This window comes from Homo sapiens, chromosome 6 (genome assembly GCF_000001405.40).
Source record: "Homo sapiens chromosome 6, GRCh38.p14 Primary Assembly".
Taxonomy (NCBI): domain Eukaryota; kingdom Metazoa; phylum Chordata; class Mammalia; order Primates; family Hominidae; genus Homo; species Homo sapiens.
Genome location: NC_000006.12, coordinates 2,234,532 through 2,254,526, shown reverse-complemented (window position 1 = coordinate 2,254,526; position 19,995 = coordinate 2,234,532). Strand labels below are relative to the sequence as shown.

Below are 19,995 nucleotides of genomic sequence, written 5' to 3'. Positions count from 1 at the left end.
AAGGTTCCATCTTCACTAGCGCTTACTGCTTTTTGGTGAGGTTCCCAAAGGAGCAGCTTGCTTTTTTAAGACTTAGTTTGCTTGAGAACATGGAACAAATTACCCCAGAGTTGCATGTCAGGATTATTTAGTGATCCTATCCAATGTCAAGTCAAAAATGGGTCTTCTCACTAACATTTAGGACACAATCCAGGACAGAGCCCAGATACTCTTCAGCACTCTTCTATCCTAGGGCGAGTTTCCCAAGGCATGCCTCCTGGAGGTTGATGAAAGATCTCTCTTAGTGGGAATGAGGGGGCCATTTAAAAAAATTCATTAGGATCAAAGTTCTCTTTCCCAGAAAGTCTAGCAAATTCTCTATTGCATAGGATTCGTGACGCTTGCCTTTATAGTCCTAGCATTCTCATTATGCAGATTAGGCCCTTAGCCAACCCTTTACCAGTCATCAAAAATGACTGGAAGCCATTACTAGTTGAAGTGGACTGAGCCATGAGGAGCCTGAGATTTATGACAGCATCTTGAACATGTTAAACATATTAGTACAAAATGGTAAGGTTTCTCTGGCATTACAGTGCTTAGAATTAGCAATAAGACCAATATCTTAACCTTGAGGCAATTTTGACACATTATAAGAATCAGACTAGTAACCAGGAACTGGAAAATTTCCATAGCAGTCAATGGTGTTTTATTACCTCATCTATTTTAAAGAACAATGTATTACTTCATCTCTAGTGTTTTATGTTATTAGAGATTCACTTTTATTGAGCAAGGCTTTAAGAAATGTCACAAAGGGAGGAGTGGGCATAGGCATGTTCTCAAATCCTGAGGGGAAAATGCTGAAAATAAGCTCCATGGACAACTTAAACCTTCACATGCTTTTCCTCTCTGGGTTTGATGCTGCTAATGGAAAAGCAATGCTGTGCTCCTTGAGAGGAGGTTCTAATTAGACAGTATAGCAATGATTCCAAGGCTCTGCTCCCTGGGTTTTAGCGCATTGAGAAATTGAGATTATTAGAGTGGAAAACCTTCCCAATAAAATGTCCCCAATGAAGTTTTCTAGCTTGAAGACTATTGGTCAAAAGAAAAAAAAAAAAGAAAAAAGAAAAATTAAAAAACAGAGGAGTAGGCTCGGTGCGGGGGCTCATGCCTGTAACCCCAACACTTTGGGAGGCCAAGGCAGGTGGATCACTTGAGGTCAGGAGTTCGAGACCGGGCGTGGTGGCACATGCTTGTAATCCCAGCTACTCAGGAGGCTTAGGCGGGAGAATTGCTTGAATCCGGGAGGCGGGGGTTGCAGTGAGCTGAGATCAGGCCACTGCACCCCAGGCTGGGTGACAGAGCGAGACTCCATCTCAACAAACAAAACAACAACAACAAAAACCCAGAGGAGCTAGAGACAAAGTGACTTAGGCTTACATACATAGCCTGCTGTAGATAAGGTATATACGTGGCCCAGAACTCATACTTGTAATACTCATTTGCCTGAAGACAGCTATCTGATGGGAAATTGTATGAGTGAGGATGTAAGAGAAAAAAAATAAATGTGTTCAATTATTTTGAACACATTTATTTTTCCTTTTCTAAATACATCATTCAAAAAACTTGCTGTAGTCTGATTTCATTTGTAGGATGGTATATTCCAAAGTTGAGGTGGCAGATTTCAGGAACTTCCTAGAAATTTTAGAGCTATTGGCCGGGTGTGGTGGCTCATGCCTGTAATCCCAGCACTTTGGGAGGCCGAGGTGGGTGGATTACCTGAGGTCAGGAGTTTGAGACCAGCTTGACCAACATGGAGAAACCCTGTCTGTACTAAAAATACAAAAAATTAGCCAGGCATGGTGGCACATGCCTGTAATCTCAGCTACTCAGGAGGCTGAGGCAGGAGAATCGCTTGAACCCAGGAAGCGGAGGTGGCAGTGAGCCGAGATCGCGCCATTGCACTCCAGACTGGGCAACAAGAGTGAAACTCTGTCTCAAAAAAATAAAAAGAAATTTTAGAGCTATCTCATTGCCTTTTAACTCTGCTTCTAAAACCCTGCTGCTTCTGCTATGCATTCTAAGAAAGATTTATGCGATGTATTTTATTCCAGTGGAAAAGCAGGGATCTAAGTTGTCTCATGTCCAACAAAGTTGGATTGTCTCAGATTTTATTTAAAAATCCAGTGCTTCTATTCTGCTTATTACCTGAACTGGAAAACTGGTATAAATCTTGAAGTTGAAGTTCAGGGAAAGTAAAAAAAAAAAAAAAAAAAAAAAAAGAAATGGTCTCTACTTCTCCTTCTCTACTGGATGCTTTCTGTTGCCCCGACCCTTCTCTCTCATTCATTTTCATGCACTCAGGAGGTCATCTCTTTGGTCTTCCAGTCTTGGTTAAGAGCACTGGGTCTGAAGTTTGAGCCATGTCAGCCAAGGGTTAGAGCTGGACACAGAAGCCACTATAGGGATCTCAAGTAGAAAGGGATTTAATACAGGAAATTCTGTATTTACAAAATCCTTGCAAGAAAAAAATCTGGCAGTCTAAAAAAAAAAAAAAAAACTAAACATGCAATGATCACGGGACCCAGCAATTGCACTCTTGGGCAAAGTGAAAATGTGTGTTCACACAAAAACCTGTACATGAATGTTCACAGCGGCTTTATTTGTAGTGGTCCCAAACTGGAAACAGCTGAGATATCCTTCAGTAAGTGAATAGTTAAACCAGCGATTGTACTGCCATACTATGGAATACTACTCAACAAAAAAATTAATGAGGCCGGGTGCAGTGGCTTATGCCTGTAATCCCAGCACTTTGGGAGGCAGAGGTGGGCAGATCACTTGAGGTCAGGAGTTCGAGACCAGCCTGGCCAACATGGTGAAACACTGTCTCTACTAAAATACAAAAATTAGCTGGGTGTGGTGGAGGGTGCCTGCAATCCCAGGTACTTGGGAGGCTGAGGCAGGACAATCGCTTGAACCTGGGAGGCAGAGGCTGCAGTGAGCCGAGATTGCACCACTGCACTCCAAGCATGGGTGACAGAGCAAGACACCCTCTCAAAAATAACTAACTAACTAAATAAATAAACAAACTATCCATACACACAACATCTTGGATGATGACTCTCCAGAAAACTTGAATGACAAAAGCACATTTCAAAAGATTATTCATTTATAATGCTTAAAAAAAATTGAGACAAGGTCTTGCTCTGTCACTCAGGCTGGAGTGCAGTGGTGCGATCATGGCTCATTGCAGCCTCAATTTCCTGGGGTCAAATGAGGTCCCAGCATCCCCAGTAGCTGGGACCAGAGGCACGTGCCACCCTGCCTGGCTAGTTTTTATTTTTTGTTGAGCTAAGGTCTCGCTATATTGCTCAGGCTGGTCTCAAACTCCTGGGTTCAAGCAATTCTCCAGACTTTATCTCCCAAAGTGCTGGGATTACAGGCGTGAACCATTCCACTCAGCCTATGATACATTTTGAAATGACAAAATTTTAAAAATAGAGGACAGATTTGTGTTTTCAAAGGATTAGGGATGGGGGTGGGAGGGAGGTGGTGCAGTTATAAAGGGGTAACATGAGGTGTCCTGGTGGTTTTGGAATCTTGATGGCGGTGGTGGATGCATGAATATATACATGCAATAAAACTGTATAGAAGTAGGCCACACATGGTGGCTCATGCCTGTAATCCCAGCCCTGTGGGAGAGGCCAAGGCAGGAGGATTGCTTGAGCCCAAGAGTTCAAGACCAGTCTGGGCAACAAAGTGAGACTCCTGTCTCTACTCAAAATAAATAAATTAAAAAAATAGCTGGGCATGGTGGCTCATACCTGTAATCCCAGCTCTGTGGGTGGCCAAGGAGGGAGGATCAATTGAGCCCAGGAGCTGAAGACCAGCCTTGGCAAAAGTGAGACCTCGTTTCTACTAAAAATAAGCAAATTAGCTGGCCATGGTGGTGTGTACCTGTGGTCCCAGCTATATAGAAGGCTGAGGCAGGAGGACGGCTTGAGCCCAGGAGGTTGAGGCTGCAAGTGAGTCTGGATGACAGAGTGAGACCTTGTCTCAGGCAAAACAAACCAAACCAAACGGTACACAAGTAAATACACATACTCTTGCACAAATGAGTACAAAAACTGAGGAAATCTGAATGAGATTGGTGAATTCTATCAACGCCAATATGCTGCTTGTGCTATTGCTCTATAGTATTTGAAGACATGACCATGTCACTCACTGTATTTCTTAAAAATACATTTGAATCTACAATTATTAGTTGAAAAAAATATTTATGAGACAGAGGAAGAGAACTCGGAGGGCCTTCAGTTGTTGATGTCAGGACATTACCACCATAGCTGAAGGCCAGAATTCAGAAAACCACTCCTGCTGCCATGCTGCTCCCCCAACCCAAGTGGCTCTCATGCCCATGAAAACGGTGACTAGACCCAAACTTGGACTCTAACTGCCGTTAATCCTCATGTCAGTTGGACCAGAAAGCAGAAGGATGGCTTCTGTTTCACTTCCACCTGCCAGATTGAGCAGGAACGCATCTAATTGACAAAGCTCAATTTGCTTCCTATATATGAGATGCAAAATGGTCTGGGACATGTGGCTTTGAGCACTCTAATTTTTCCAAAGAGAGTATGGAATGGGAGTTGAATGAGCATAATATCTACCATAACCAGCCACTAGCTATGTGGCCTTGGGCGAGTTTATTAATGTTTCCAATCCTCAGTTTCTGACTCTATGAAATAAAGATCATTATCATACTGAGTGTGGACAAACTCAAATTGTTTTTCCCCTGCTCTAACAAAACACCAATCAACAGAGAAGACTTCTGTGACCAAGTATGCATGGGATTTCTTCCCACCCACAAGCAGGCAATCAATTCTATAGGGCACACCAGCTGGGTGCCCTTCAATTCCATTCAACTCTGACACTGTCTCCTTGGAGATAGCATCAGATCCCACAGGTCAAGGGCTCAGTCCCCAATACTGTGCCCCCGCCAACTTCTGATGCCAATTGCAAGCCCCAGGTTATTCTACCTGTGCTTCTGACTGGCCAAAAAGTGGGCTTCACGTGACCCCCTTCTTAGGTTTATTAATCTGAAAGAGTGGCTCACGGAACTCAGGGAATCTCTTACTCAGGATTACCAGTTTACTGGTATGACAAAGTATATGACAAAGGATGCAGATGAGGAGATGTACAGGGCAAGGAATAGGAGGAGCTTGGAGCTTTGGTGCCCACCCTGAAGCGTCACCCTCCATGTACCTCCACGTGTTCAACTATCTAGAACTCTCTGCACACAGTCCTTTTTGGGTTTTTATGGAGGCTTCATTATGTCGGCATGATTGATTAAATCGTTGGCCGTTGGTGATCAACTTAACCATCAGCTTCTCTCTCCTCCCTGGAGGTTAGGGGATGGGGCTGAAAGTCCCAGCCCTCTAATCCTGCATTGGTCTTTACAATGACCAGTTTCCACCCTGAAGCCACCTAAGGGCTGCCAGCCAACAGTGAACTCACTCATTACCCTACAAAATACATCGCTTTGGTGATTCTAAGCATTTTAGAAATCATATGCCAGGAAAACAGAAATGAAGACCAAATATAGATTTCACCACAGCAGACGCACTTACCTCCTGGAGTTGGCTGAGATGCAGCACGCTGCCCCACACATCTCACACGCTCCCTCCATCCATGCTGGCCATTAGCATGGTTTGTGCAATCTGAGAAAGAAGATCAGCAAATGTTCCATGTGAAAAGCAAAGGAAAGAAATGTTTAAAAAAGGAGAGGAGAGAGAATTTTAAAGGGAATGCTGGAGAATCGTTCTTGAATAACTGGCATGCACTCAGTGGCAAGAGATGGGAAAGAAAGAAGTGAAAAATGTTATTCCACATATTTAGTCTTGTACAGAATGATTGACTTTTATCCAATTAGAGGACTTGGAGTTGGAGGCCTCACTCTTTTCTCTATATTTTGTATCATATTAAAACAAATATGAAAATGTTATGAAAAGTCATAAAATGATTCAATATCATATCCCTTTCAGATTATAGCCCCTTGAAGATTATTTCTCCTCTACTGCTATACCCTCAGCAGCTAGTATGTTTCTGGAGATTAGCCAAGTTTGTGAGTAAAGGTATCAGCATCAACAATTAGCTACCAAATGTATTTGCTTCTTCTGACATACCATGAAGTCACTGTATAGTATAGCCAGTGTCTGTCAGTTCAACCACCCGCTTGTTAACATCTTTCACTGGCCTCCTGGAGAAGGGTTACTCAGCCTCAGCACTATTGACATTTTGGGCTAGAAAAATCTTTGTTGTGGGAGCTTCCTGTGCACTGCAGATGGTGAGCAAAATACTTAACCTCTACTCATTAGATACCTATAGCACAACTCCATTTGTGACAATCAAAAATGCCTCCAGACATTGTCAAATGTCCCCTGGGGGCAAAATCACCCAGGGATGAGAACTGTGTTAGAGGAAAACACAACTGAGCCATCACCCTTAGAGCTTTCCACTACCGCTGGTCGCTTTACTTCTAGTTAATGTAATCTTCTTATGCTGCCCCAGACCCTGTGCTGACGTTGTTCAAGTTGCCCTAATGCTACTGGGAAAATGACAACAACCTCCACTACCAACCTCCTCCCTCCGAGCCCACAAACAGTTAAAAAAAAGAACCTCTTTTTCCCTCTAGCTGTCAATCATGGGTTGAATTTTGTCCCTCCCCCAATTAATATATTGATGTCTTAACTCTTAGTAGCTCAAAATGTGACTGTATTTGGAAATAAGGTCATTAAAGAGGGTCCTAATCAAATGTAACTGGTGTTCTTATAAGAACAGGAAGTTTGGACACAGACACACATACAGAGAGAACGCCATGTGAACATGAAGACAGCCAGCTACAAGAAAAGGAGAGAGGCCTCAGAAGAAATCAGCCCTTGATCCTAAACTTCCAGTCTCCAGAACTGTGAGGAAATAAATTTCTATCGTTTGTCACCCTATGGATGGTACGTTGCTGTAGCAGACCTACCACCTGTCTTCAGAAAAGTTCTCTAGAGAAATAGCCTTTATTCTTCAAGCTTCCTCTGACCTACCATTTCCCATCATTTTATAAATATTTTCAGGCCCTAATAATGTTGATTTTTTTTCCATTTTTCTTCTACTGTCACACACTTCTAGGGCAGGTGTTTGGTGGTGTGACAGGAAATTGACTGGTGTCAACTTCCAGTGTTTGTGTGATAGGAGGTCTCAAAACTACAGGATAAATGTGTCATATCTCCCATAAGTATCAGTTTTGCTCAGTGATTTTTTTTTTTTTTTTTTGAGATGGAGTTTTGCTCTTCTTGCCCAGGCTGGAACGCAATGGCAAGATCTCGGCTCACTGCAACCTCCTCCTCCCGGGTTCAAGCGATTCTTCTGCCTCAGCCTCCAGAGTAGCTGGGATTACAGGTGCCCACCACCACGCCTGGCTAATTTTTTGTATTTTTAGTAGAGACGGGTTTTCACCGTGTTGGCCAGGCTGGTCTTGAACTCCTGACCTCAGGTGATCCACCTGCCGCAGCTTCCCAAAGTGCTGGGATTACAGGCGTGAGCCACTGCGCCCGGCTTGCTCAGTGATTTTTTTAAGGAAAATGTTAAATAATTGGCTCATGCATTAATTTAAAGCGTATTTACATGAAAATGAGTATAGTTTTAGCATATTCCCGTATATTTCACAGACATTTCTAGCTTATAGCATGTTCCTCTCAATGGAAGTGTTCCCTCTCCTCAGCTTCAGGGTCTCTTCATCACTCAGAGGCACCATCAGATGTTTGTTGAGCCATTCTCCTCATAGAACGCAGAGGAGAGGCCAGGTGTGAAACCAGACCAGTCTATCTATAGCTAAGAAATATTCCTAACGGACCTCGAGGAGCGCGAGAGGGAGGTTTTAAATGTAATCCTGAGCTTTTCTGATTTTGGGGTTCCAGGTCTGCTATACATACTCTTGCACGTTATATTGGGCACAGCCCTAGTAACTCTGTGATTTGAAATGATGATCTGAAGTTATCGATTAGGGAGAGGAATGTGGACAGAGAAGCAGAGCAACGGAGACCGGGAAGTTTCCGTCTGTGTCCTGGATTGCAGCCAACTGCTTAGGCACACACACCTGCTGCCCTCCCGGCTCTGAGTCACCTCCTCTCCTCTCCCTGTCCAACGAGCAGCTGCCAAATGGCAGCCAAATCCAACAGATGTAAGCCGGGACCCCACCTGTGTTTGAATTACTTTCTTTGAAATCTGCCACGTCCAGGTTTATTGACCCGGGCAGTCTTTTCAACATTTCCTTATGCCGCATACGGGTGGGGCTAGGGACTTTCTTGTGCACTGGCAGTCCTCAGAAGAGAAAACTTTGAATTCAGCTATTTGGAACCTCGTTACTGGTTCCGAGCCTCAGGAAAGGCCAGAAGAGCGAGAGCCAGCCTAGTTAGTCACTCCCACATCTGTGACCCCCGTTTACGGGCCTTGTACGCTACTGCCCTTCAGGTACCATAAACCGGGCTTCTCAAAGGGCACTGCAACAGGTTTCCAGGAATTATTTATCAAAGTCCATGACCCCGGCCCTGTGACCCCTGGGTTTGAAAATTCAGACCTTCAGCCTAACGGAGAGGTCGGCTCAGCGTTCCTCCCAGCATCCTCGGGCGATATTAGGGTCCTGGGAGATTCGGGAGGCCACTGCGTCCAGGCCCCCCACGGCCAGCCAGGCGAGAGGCGGGACGCGAAGCCGCGGCCTCCTTCCTCTTCCCTGAGGCGGTGGCGGCGGCAGGCCCCGCCCCTCCCGCGCGGTGGCCGTCGGCGGAGGGGCGGGGCCTGCTACAGCGTCGCCGGCTGACGCGAATGACGCTGCGCCAGTCAGGCCGCAGCCCCGCTGCTTGGCCCGTCGGGCCCGCCTTGGCCGGCTCGGCCCGCCCCCGGCCCTCCCTGCACGGCCTCCCGTGCGCCCCTGTCAGACTGTGGCGGCCGGTCGCGCGGTGCGCTCTCCCTCCCTGCCCGCAGCCTGGAGAGGCGCTTCGTGCTGCACACCCCCGCGTTCCTGCCGGCACCGCGCCTGCCCTCTGCCGCGCTCCGCCCTGCCGCCGACCGCACGCCCGCCGCGGGACATGGCACACGCACCGGCACGCTGCCCCAGCGCCCGGGGCTCCGGGGACGGCGAGATGGGCAAGCCCAGGAACGTGGCGCTCATCACCGGTATCACAGGCCAGGTGAGTGCGGGGGCGGGGGCGCGCCGGCCGAGGCAGCCTGGGCACGCGTGCTCTCCCTACGCGCCGCTACTCGTGGGCTGCGGTCTCTCCAGGAACAGCCCTCTCGGCGTCCCGGAAGGGGTCTGCTGCCGGGAGGTGGGACGGAAGGTACGGTGCAGTTAGTGTGTTGCGTGTGGGGTGTGCGGGATACATCGAGCGCCTCTGGTCTTTCTCTGGGGGCTGTGAGCGTGTGTGCCGCGCGGGATGTCGCGCTCACACCCGGGCAGGACCGCCCGCTCTCACCTGCCCCTCAGGTGACCGCAGCGTCTCTTCCTCCAAGCCCATGTCGTGCTTCGCAGCTCCTAGTGCCGGAAAGGGAAAAGAACCGGTGATCAATGAACTTGCGGGTGAGGTCTTCTTGATGTGTCTCGGCTCAAGGGGCGCTTACCTGCTAACGTTTGGGAAGCAAGAAAAAGGGTGCTTTGCTGGTTTCGTCCCCTATCACCGGATTTCCAGATAGAAAAGAGAACATGAAAGAAAGTAATGCTGTGGAGTCACCTACTAGGACATGTTTAGGAAAAAGAACTTAAAAAACTTTTTAAAATCACGCCAACTTCTGAGATTCAGGTTGACACATTTGGAAGTGTATCCGAGGCACACTGGTCCAAAAGTGCGGCTAGTTCCATTTTCAAAGGAATAAGTTCGTCGAGTAAGGTAATCAAGAGGAGGTCTTCGGAATGTCTCAGGCTAAGCATGGCTGGTTTGTGAGGGTCGCCTCTTAGAGGTGTTGCAGTAGGTGGGATCCGACCGCTGTGTCTTACCAAGCTGTGCTGTTTTAGATTCAGTGGTCATGAAGTAATCGTGCCCACATATTGCTGTAGAAAGAATGTGATGTGTGTGCTCCTGGGTATCTCTGGGTGGTGGCCAATATAACACTGAGATAAAGGTGATAATGGCTAATACATATTGTGTCTATCATGTTCCAGTCGCTTGCCTAACATTAACTCATTTAGTTCTCATAACAAACTCTTTGAGGAGGTACTTTTATTATCTCTATATATGTGGAAACTGAGGCATGGGAGTTTGATTTGCCTGAGGTTAAACCGCTGGGAAGTGTCCAGTTGGTATTGAAACCACTCTCAAAGTTCTCTAGTGTTAGAAAGGGCTAAGTGGGCAGGAGGCAGCGGCTCATACTTGAAATCTCAGCACTTCGGTGTGCAGAGGTGGAAGGATTGCTCGAGGTGAGGCCAGGAGTTTGAGACCAGCCTGGGCAACATATTGAGACGTTGTCTCTACAAAAAAATTTAAAAAATGAGGCAGGCATGTTGGTGCTCACCTGTAGTGCTAGCTACTCAGGAGGCTGAGGCAGGAGGATCACTTGAGTCCGGGAGTCTGAGGCTGCTGCAGTGAGCAATGATGGTACCACTGTACTCCAGCCTGGGGCAAGAGAGTGAGATCCTGCCTCAAAAAAAAAAAAAAAAAAAAAAAAAAAAAAAAAGAAGGAGAAGTTGAAATTGGCCAGATGCACAGTCACAGAATATTACACAATTTCAAGTATTGAATACCTGATTTACTGCTGGTTATTCATGCATCTTGCTTTGCTTAAGGTAATCATAATAGACAAGAGTTTGAAAACTAGTAAGAGGTGGATCTGAGTTTGAAAACTAGTAAGAGGGCAAGGATCTGAGGTTGAGAAATTGAATCCTTGAATTGAGGCAGTAAGACAGGTCAGGGCCTACATACTGTCCTCCCCCTTCTCTTTGTTTTCTAATGCTGGGACCTTTCTGCAGATGATTCCCTTTTTTCCATTTTGTCAGACTGGACCTGAAGCTCAAATGTTTACCAAGTTTACCTAATCTCTGGAAAGTAGAGATTTTATTTTAGTATTGTCCGGAAATTAGTTAAGATTAACATCTTAACTAATGTGCTGTGTTGGTGTGGCCTATACCAATTTACACGACCAGCAGTATGAATCAGTGCAGATTAGAAATGGAACCTAATTTTGACTTTTAAGAGCAGTCATTTGGCTGGAACTGAGTGGCCAGGAAGGTATGGAAGTGGGCCCCCACTCTAGTTTGTCCTGCAGCCTGTCATGGGAGTCTACCTGAAGCACCACACTCAGCAGACCACTCCCTGACTGGAATTTTTTGGTTCCTCATTTCATTTCCAACTTAAAACACCTGCATGGCTTTCAGGTTGGGTTGAATCTCTGCCCCAGTGTTTCTTTCTTCCCTCCGGCATCTGCCCTCTGCATTGTCTCCTCATTTGGTGTTGCATTGGCTTCTGTACCCCTAGCATAGTGCTGAATTCTGTAGCTACCACATAAACACTTGCAGATGGAATTTACTGCTCTTTTATGTTTTTTATTTGTATTCCAGGACAGTGACTCCCAACTTGAGTATCAAGGATCTCTGGAGCACTGTGGTGTTAATGCAAGGGGTCTGAAAATCCATACCTTATTGTATGTTTTCTTAATAATATTGGCTGAGAACTTACTGAGCTATTCACTCTGCTAAGCATTTTGTATATCCCTACCTAAGAGACAGGTATAATAAGTATCCCCATTTATCCCTGGCTAAGTAAGGTTAAATATGTTCCCTGAGGTCGTACATCTAATGAGTGTCAGAACTGAGATCTGAACCCAGATCTCAGCAGTTGCTGTAAGTCATTTTGTTATACAGACTGTGGTGAGCCTTATGAGACAGAGAGAAATAAATAGTCTTACTCTAAGAAGAGATTTCAGATTCAAATGCCACTGCTCTGGCACTTGGGGCTATCATGGCATTTGTGCCAAGATGGGCTCTTAAATGGGTTGTCCCAAATTCCCGCTTGAGAATAGTGCGGACAGCCAGGGTGTCCTGTCTGCTGTGTATCTCTAGTACGTATTGTCAGGCTTCTTATTCTAGCCTTCCCCTCCCATCGGTTCTTGACACACTCCTTTTCCAAAGTGGGAACCTTATTAAATAGGCTTTAAAGAAGCTCAGGCTCTGGCTTTGCATTGCTGTCTCCAGGCCCTCTGCCAGCCACTCTTAAAAGCTCACCCCCATTGGCTAATGATGCTGTTCTTTACTGCACTCTTGGAGATGTTCTTGCTGTTTTTTGAATACTGTTGCCTTGTACCTCTTTGGAGTAATTATTTGTGGCTGAATGGCCTCACAATTCTTATTCCTTTTAAGGTGAGTCTCAGTGTTCTCAGCCTAATCCTGATAAATGCAGCCATTCCAGGAACTTCCTCTGTATTTACATGTATGCAGTCCCTGTTGATTGTATAAGTAATTTCATATCTTTTGTCTTGAGATTATGAACTACTTTAAGATAGAAATCTCATTTTCAGCCTGTTACCTCCCACATGCCTTCATCTAGTGGGGTTTCAAAACTGTTGACTTACTTTTTCCATTAGCAGAACACATCTTCACTGCATGTCTGCAGTGTCCAAGGCTTGTTTTGGTGCTGCTGCAGATATAAAGATATGAAAGTTGTCTTCATCTGTTTGTGTTGCTATAAAGGAATACCTGAGGCTGGGTAATTTATAAAGAAAAGAGGTTTATTTGGTTCATGGTTCTGAAGGCTGTACAAGAAGCATGGCACCAGCATCTGCTTCTGCTGAAAGCTTTAGGCTTCCACTCATGGAGCTAGTGTATGCAGAGATTACATGGTGAGAGAGGAAGCAAGAGGTGGGGTGGGGTGTGGGGTGCCAGGCTCTTTTTAACAACCGGCTCTAGCGGGAGCTAATAGAGTGAGGAGTCACTCATTACTGTGAGGATGGCACCAAGCATTCATGAGGGATCTGCTTCCATGACCAAAACACCTCCTATTAGTTCCCACCTCCAACCTTGGGGATTAAATTTCAGTGTGAGATTTGGAGGGGTCAAAGATCCAAACCATGGCATTCCATCCCTGACCCCCCAGATCTCATCCTTCTCACATGCAAAATACAATCATCTTTCTCATGCAAAATACAATTCCAATAGTCCCTAAAATTCTTAACTTGTTCCAGCACCAACTTAACGGTTCAAAGTCTGAGACTCAAAGCAAGTTCCTTCTAGCTATGAGCCTGTAAAACCAAAAACGAATAATTTTTTTCCAAGATACAATGGTTGTACGGTCATTGGGTAGACATTCTGTGACTGCAGCAGCCAGGATGTCGGAGCAGCATGTAGGACGTTCCAGGACTCCTTGAGGTGTGCCAGGCCAGCTGTGCCCCGGGCCTGTCTCCCCAAACCATGCTGTCCTCCTAGGTCTCTGGGCCTCTGATGGGAGAGACAGCCTCAAAGATGTCTGAGATGCCTTCAGGGTCTTTTCCCATTGTTCTGACTATTAGCACCTGGCTCCCTTTTATCCATGCCAACCTCTTTAGCAGGTGATTGCTCCCCAGCACCATTGGCTTTCTTTACTGAAAAATGCTGTTTTCTTTCACTATCACATGACCAGGTTGTAGATTTGAAAAATTTTTCTGATCTGTTTCCCTTTTCTCTACCAATTCTACAAGTAATGCACTTTGAACAGCAAATGCAACAGACTGAATTACCATCTTCCTTATGACATTGATAGTCTAGTGGTATGATGATGGTGATAGTTATAATTATGGTAGATTAAAATAATTAACAAGTACTGAGCATTTAGTTTGTGCCAGGTACCGTTCAAAGTGCATTACATTTTGTTCAAAGTATATTTGTTGAAGCAACAGAGAGCTTCTATGAGGTGGTTTTCTTTTTCTTTTCTTTTTTTTTTTTTTTTTTTGAGACAGTCTTATTCTGTTGTCCAGGCTGGAGTGCAGTGACGTGACCTCGGTTTACTGCAACCTCTACCTTCCAGGTTCAAATGATTCTCGTGCCTTAGCTGCCTGAGTAGCTGGGATTACAGGTGTTTGAATTACTGCTTAGCTCTTTCTGAACTGCACTGGCTTTGGGTAAGTCACTTATCTTTTCTGCCAGGTTGGAAGAATAATTCTTATCAAATAGGAAATAAATCTGCACATAGTAGTGGCCTTTGCCTCATTACTGGAATGGACCTTCCCTCCATAGTGTTAACAGAATAATAAAAGATTTCTTGACTTTTAGGAAAGGAAGTTGAATGTGGGAGGTATTACTATTTAGCCTTGCTTTGCATGGGGAATCTATTATCTAGAAGCAGAAAGTTCTGTAATATTTGGAATCAACCACAAGGCTATAAAGTACTGGGAGGCCAACAGATTTAATGTCCAGTGAGTCTTTCAAGACTGTGCAAAGCAGATCTGGGAGCTGGTCTTATCTTCTCATATAAGAGGATTGTAGGCAGTGACTTCCATTCTAAATCTTCCTTGCTGGGATTTGCAGTCCTGGGATAAAAGGTTTGGCATTATTGGGCTGGGCGTGGTGGCTCACACCTGTGGTCCCAGCACTTTGGGAGGCTGAGGCGGGCCTCCCAAATCTCTGGATCACGAGGTCAGGAGATCGATACCATCCTGGCTAACATAGTGAAACCCTGTCTCTACTAAAAATACAAAAAAATTAGCTGGGCATGGGGGCAGGTGCCTGTAGTCCCAGCTGCTTGGGAGGCTGAGGCAGGAGAGTGGGGTGAACCCGGGAGGCAGAGCTTGCAGTGAGCCGAGATCGTGCCACTGCACTCCAGCCTGGGCGACAGAGCAAGACTCCATTTCAAAAAAAAAAAAAAGGTCTGGCATTATTGGAAGTGAGAGAGATGTCTTGAGTACTGTCCTGCTTAATCAAAGACTGTTACATGTGATTAATTGAAAGAGCTCTGGACTGGGAATCAGAGGTTGGGTTTTGATACCAATTAATTGTATAGCCTTACATTTTTTGAGTGTTTTTCTTAACTTGTCAAGTGAAAGGGTTACCTGGTTATTCTTAGGGATCTAAGGGCTGCTCCTAGTCTACAGTAGTGTGATGTTTGGATTACATGCTGACTTATTATGTGTACAATAGAGAAATTATGCAATTATCTTTATATTTAAGCAGTGCAGTAATTTCAGTTTTAGACATAAAGCCAATTGGATTTTTTTTTTTTTTTTTTGAGACAGATCTTACTCTGTTGCCTAGGCTGGAGTGCAATGGTGGTATGATCTCACTCACTGCAACATCCGTGTCCTGGGTTCAAGTGATTCTTGTGCCTCAGCCTCCTGAGTAGCTGGGATTACAGGCGTGCGCTACCACGCCCAACTAATTTTTGTATTTTTAGTAGAGTTGGGGTTTTGCCATGTTGGCCAGGCTGGTCTTGAACTCTTGGCCTCAAGTCATCCGCCCACCTTGGCCTCCCAAAGTGCTGGGATTATAGGCGTGAGCCACCGTGCCCGGCCAGGATAGTTTTTTTTTTAAATGAAACCAATGAACTATTAATTTTACTGAATTTGAAATTAAGTTTGTAAACTAAGAAGAAATTCATATGAGTTGTATGTTGTCAGAATTTGTAAGGATAGAGTGAAAACTTGGAGCTGTCCATCTTTGTAGGACATATCAAATGAATGAAGTGACTTTTTGGTGAGGAACGATTTTTTTTTTAACTGGTACATAATAATTGTACATATTTATGGGGTATGTGTGATATTTTGGTACATGTTTGTAAAGTTCAAATCAGGGAAATTAGGATAGAGGAAGGAGTTTTAAATTCTTGGGTTTTTCTTGGGTAGAAAAATGGAGTTAATTATGCCCACATCACAAATTGATGTGTGGATTACAAATGATGATTATATTATAATAAGGCCTATCACTGTTCCTGGCATGTAGTGTTTATGAAGTGATAGTTCTTATTTATTATGAATAAGTTCTCACAGTGGGAAGGAATGAGAGAAGGATGGAGAAGTGCTTGGGAATGCAGTTAGGGGTATGTAGGATGAATGAGAATAGTAAAAGTATGAGGATAATGAGATCAAGGATGCAAATGCATTTTGGTGACAGGTTGGATGGTAATAGTATGGCCAGAAATGCAACCACTGGGAAGGAAAATCAGTTTTCTGGGGGAAGACAGTGAATTATTTTGTTCCTCTGGAGTTTGAAGTGCAGTGGTGCAATCATAGCTCGCTGCAGCTTTGAACTCCTGGGCTCAGGTGATCCTCCTGCTTCAGCCTCCCTGGTAGCTGCCACCAAGCCTGACTGATTTTTTTACTATTTTTTTTTTTTTTTTGTAGAGACAGGATCTCACCAGCTGACCAGGCTAGTCTTGAACTCCTGGCCTCAAGCAATCCTCTGGTCTTGGCCTCCCAAGTGCTGATAATACAGGTGTGAGCCACTGCACCTGGCCTCTTTGTCTTAAAAATGACTTAAAAGTGCTCAGAGGTGGCTGCTGTAGAGTGGGCAAGTCCTAAAGGTGGCCATGCTGCTGTGCTGTACCTTTAGCCAGTCTTCTTCCCTGTCTCCCAGAACTTTCTGTAGCTCTTACTTAGAAGGCATGAAAATTAACACTTTCCCTTTAGTTTCATGATTGATGTTAACCAGGCTATTCTTAGTATATTTCAGTTTTCTCCTTTCTTTCTCCTTTATTTATTTGTTGATTATTTGCATTTCCTAATGTTAAAGATACTTCCAGGCGGGGCGAGGTGGCTCATGCCTGTAATCCCAACACTTTGGGAGGCCAAGGTGGGTAGATCACCTGAGGCCAGGAGTTCAAGACTACCCTGGCCAACGTGGAGAAACCCCATCTCTACTAAAAATACAAAAATTAGCCTGGCATGGTGGTGGGCGCCTGGAATCTCAAGTACTCGGGAGGCTGAGGCAGGAGAATCGCTTGAACCCGGGAGGCAGAGCTTGCAGTGAGCCGAGATCATACCACTGTACTCCAGCCTGGGTGACAGAGCGAGACTTTGTCTCAAAAAAAAAAAAAAAAAAAAAGGTACTTCCAAACTTCCAATTTACAATTTCTCATGCTTTTCTTCCTTTCTTGAGGAATTTTGGGAATCTCACACTTCCAGAAGTAAGGTGCTCAGTTGCATTAACCATTCCTGTATAAGCTTAATACATAGGAAATGAGTGAGTAAAACATGTCTGAAAGGTAATCCTATAGGATAGAAAGCTGATTATCAGTAATGTTCTTGGCAGTGGGGCACCAATGTGCCAAACCTAGTCTTTGGCAAGCTAGTAAGCAATTTTCCTGCCAAAATCTTGTGACTTACCATAAGTAGTAACCCAATTGTTTATATAAATTTACTCATTGAAATGACTCAGCTTTCCAGGATATTATTTTGGCATTTACTTATGTAGAATTGAGTTACATAGACTTGAGGTTAGATGATTTTATATGCAGTGACGTTCTTGGCTGAAGGGTATTTACTTCATTTGTTTCAGACTGTTCATACTGTGCCTTTTAAACAATTTACCACATGTGATTCTAGGGGAATCCTTTCTCAGATCTTCATACTAAGTTCTTTTAAACTTAAGAGTGAAAAAATAAAGGTATTTACTAGGGATTTATAGAAAGTATTTCTTTATACTGACTAATTACACTTGGGAAAATGAACCACCAAAGCTTGGTTGTATTATATATATATTATGCTTGAGCATTTGGTTTGATTGTAATGTGAAATGAATTGCTTGATCATGTTTAACAAAAATATGTTCCTTAATGCTGAGTGAAAAAGCCTCTAATTGGCACTTTTAGAAATCTTTTAAAATCAAAACATGATTTTTCTATGTTTCTTAGAATGGTACTGTATTTCTATCACTTTTCACAAAAGTTAGATTTTTAGTATTGCTTTATTCGAACTATATTTTTACATCGGTTCTTTAAAAATGATGAATTGGAATTTTGCAAGTATATGCAGACACTAGTAGTATTTTTTGGTGATCAATATTGATAAACGTGTTTATTGTAGTTTACAGTGGAATCCTTCAAAATGGAAGCTTTGTTGCAAGAGACCTGCAGGACAAAATGCAAGTGTGGCATATATGCTTGTTGGAGTAAACCCAGTCAAGGAGAAAGACAGCAGAAACCCTGTTTGTCAAGAATTGTGGGAGGCCTGAGATTTTACCTTACTTGCAGGCTAACAAGTTAGCTTCTTAAAATTCCACGGATGATGGCAGAAGACACAGCACTCCTGGGTCAGCAGGCAGTATGAACTTCATGTTTGTGACAGCTCTGTTTGTATAGTATTTTCTTGCCCCTCAAAGACCATGTGGGTAACACGGTGGCTGGGTGGGTCTAGGTGGATGTTGCCCATGCAGTGGGTATGCACCACAGTTGAGAAAATCTGAGATTGGGAAACCCCAATTTTTTATAAGGGAACTAATAATCCTGCCCAGCCTTTGCTTTGAGGGAGACATTATTTTTATTATTCTGCATAGCAAACAAATCTTCCATCTGCTCCAGAGAGAAACACTATTGCTATCTTAAAATGCTATCTACAGATGTCCTGTACAGGAAAGATAGTAGCCAATAAAAGCTGTCAGTGCAATCTGCTCATAAGACATGCAGAAACTGGAGAGACCCATAGAGAACTGGCTCCCAACACCATTTGTTTGCCTTGTTCCTGAAACTTACCAGATTGGCAACACAGACCAGTTTTCCTCTTTTTTTTTTTTTCTTATTTTTTTTATTTTTTTTTATTTTCCAGAAAGGGTCTTGCTCAGGCTGGAGTGCAGCAGTGCAAACACAGATCACTGGAGCCTCAACCTCCTGGGCTCAAGCGATCCTTTGGCCTCAGCCTCCCGAGAAGCTGGGATCACAGATGTGCACCACTATGCCTGGCTAATTTTTGTATTTTTTTTTTTTGTTAAGATGGGGTCTTGCCGTGCTGCTCAGGCTGGTTTCAAACTCCTTGGCTCAAGCAATTCTACCATCTCAACCTCTCCAAGTGCTGGTATTGCAGGTGTCAGCCACTGTGCCTGGCCCCAGTTTTCCTCTTATGTCTCCATGCAGACTATGGGGAGCTCCAGCTTTGCATTTGTTTTCTTTTTGCTTGAAGAACAAAATGATAAGACCTGGATTTGGGTGCTTAGTATGGAATGAATTAGGCATTGTCCCTGGGGGAGGCATTTTATATTTCCCTGTATGTATAGGCATGGGAAGTATAGTAGGTTTGATTTTGTTGGAATGTTTAGTAAGTTTAATCTGATAGATTAGTCTCAGTTGGCCTGAAGAAGTCTAGCTCAGAAGGACATTTTTCCAGCCCTGAAGAAGAATATGCCTGCTTCCCCATCACCCCTAAGGGGATGATTCTAACTCTGTTGGCTGTGGCACCTTTGTGTACACGTATCATCACTTGTTTTTTTGTTTTTTTGTTTTTTTTGAGATGGAGTTTTGCTCTTGTTGCCCAGGCTGGAGTGCAATGGCATAATCTTGGTTCACAGCAACCTCCACCTCCCAGGTTCAAGCGATTCTCCTGCCTCAGCCTCCAGAGTACCTGGGATTACAGGCATGTGCCACCACGCCCGGCTAATTTTCTATTTTTAGTAGAGACGGGGTTTCTCCATGTTGGTCAGGCTGGTCTCGAACTCCAGACCTCAGGTGATCCGCCCACCTTGGCCTCCCAGAGTGCTGGGATTACAGGTCCTCACTTGTTTTTAATTTACTCACTGAGTGACCGTAAACTTCTTGCATTAATTTCAATGCTTTCTCTTTTTTTGCTTTAAAATTGTACCTGATGTAAACTCTCATACCTTCATTTAGAGATTACTCCTATCATTTTTGAGAATGTTTCTCTGGTGTCTACCATATGCTAATAGGGCCTGCCCTCGAGGTCAGAAAATTTATGTCTTTTCAAATCTTGTAAGTTTGCTAGGATTTTATTTTTTTTATTTTTTTTGATACGGAGTTTCGCTCTTATTGCCCAGGCTGGAGTGCAGTGGTGCGATTTTGGCTCACTGCAACCTCCGCCTCCTGG

The 19,995-nt window shown here is 44.2% G+C and overlaps 1 protein-coding gene and 1 long non-coding RNA gene across 11 annotated transcripts in view, besides 3 other annotated features; one reads left to right on the top strand and one right to left on the bottom strand.

The window, feature by feature from the left end:
- Window positions 1-8,774, bottom strand: part of GMDS-DT (GMDS divergent transcript) — a 167,839-nt gene extending 159,065 nt beyond the window's left edge. Inside the window, exons 1-2 of the long non-coding RNA NR_046229.1 lie at window positions 8,597-8,774; window positions 5,601-5,690 (exon numbers count right to left, since the gene is read on the bottom strand). This is a non-coding gene — a long non-coding RNA (GMDS divergent transcript). The remainder of the gene's footprint in view (window positions 1-5,600; window positions 5,691-8,596) is intronic.
- Window positions 8,650-9,279: a silencer, noted in NCBI's record as "silent region_16826". NCBI's record gives its function as "represses an Ori minimal core promoter by ATAC-STARR-seq in GM12878 lymphoblastoid cells {active_cell/tissue: GM12878}" and the evidence as "EXISTENCE:reporter gene assay evidence [ECO:0000049][PMID:35858748]".
- Window positions 8,650-9,280: a biological region, named in NCBI's record as "H3K27ac hESC enhancer GRCh37_chr6:2245481-2245981".
- Window positions 8,780-9,280: an enhancer, noted in NCBI's record as "H3K27ac hESC enhancer chr6:2245481-2245981 (GRCh37/hg19 assembly coordinates)". NCBI's record gives its function as "activates a minimal SCP1, AML or CMV promoter by ChIP-STARR-seq in naive H9 embryonic stem cells {active_cell/tissue: H9 hESC(naive)}" and the evidence as "EXISTENCE:reporter gene assay evidence [ECO:0000049][PMID:30033119]".
- The window catches only part of GMDS (GDP-mannose 4,6-dehydratase), a 621,800-nt gene continuing 610,726 nt past the window's right edge, over window positions 8,922-19,995 (top strand). For 9 of the 10 annotated variants that reach the window (XR_007059239.1, NM_001500.4, XM_011514502.4 and 6 more), the window contains exon 1: window positions 8,922-9,206. Coding sequence is in view for 9 of the 10 variants with exons in the window: in NM_001500.4 (NP_001491.1) it covers window positions 9,105-9,206 (102 nt within the window). In the remaining variant the exon portion in view is untranslated. Of the gene's footprint in view, window positions 9,207-9,348; window positions 9,593-19,995 lie in introns of those variants that run through there. The other variant, XM_011514500.2, reaches the window with a different exon arrangement.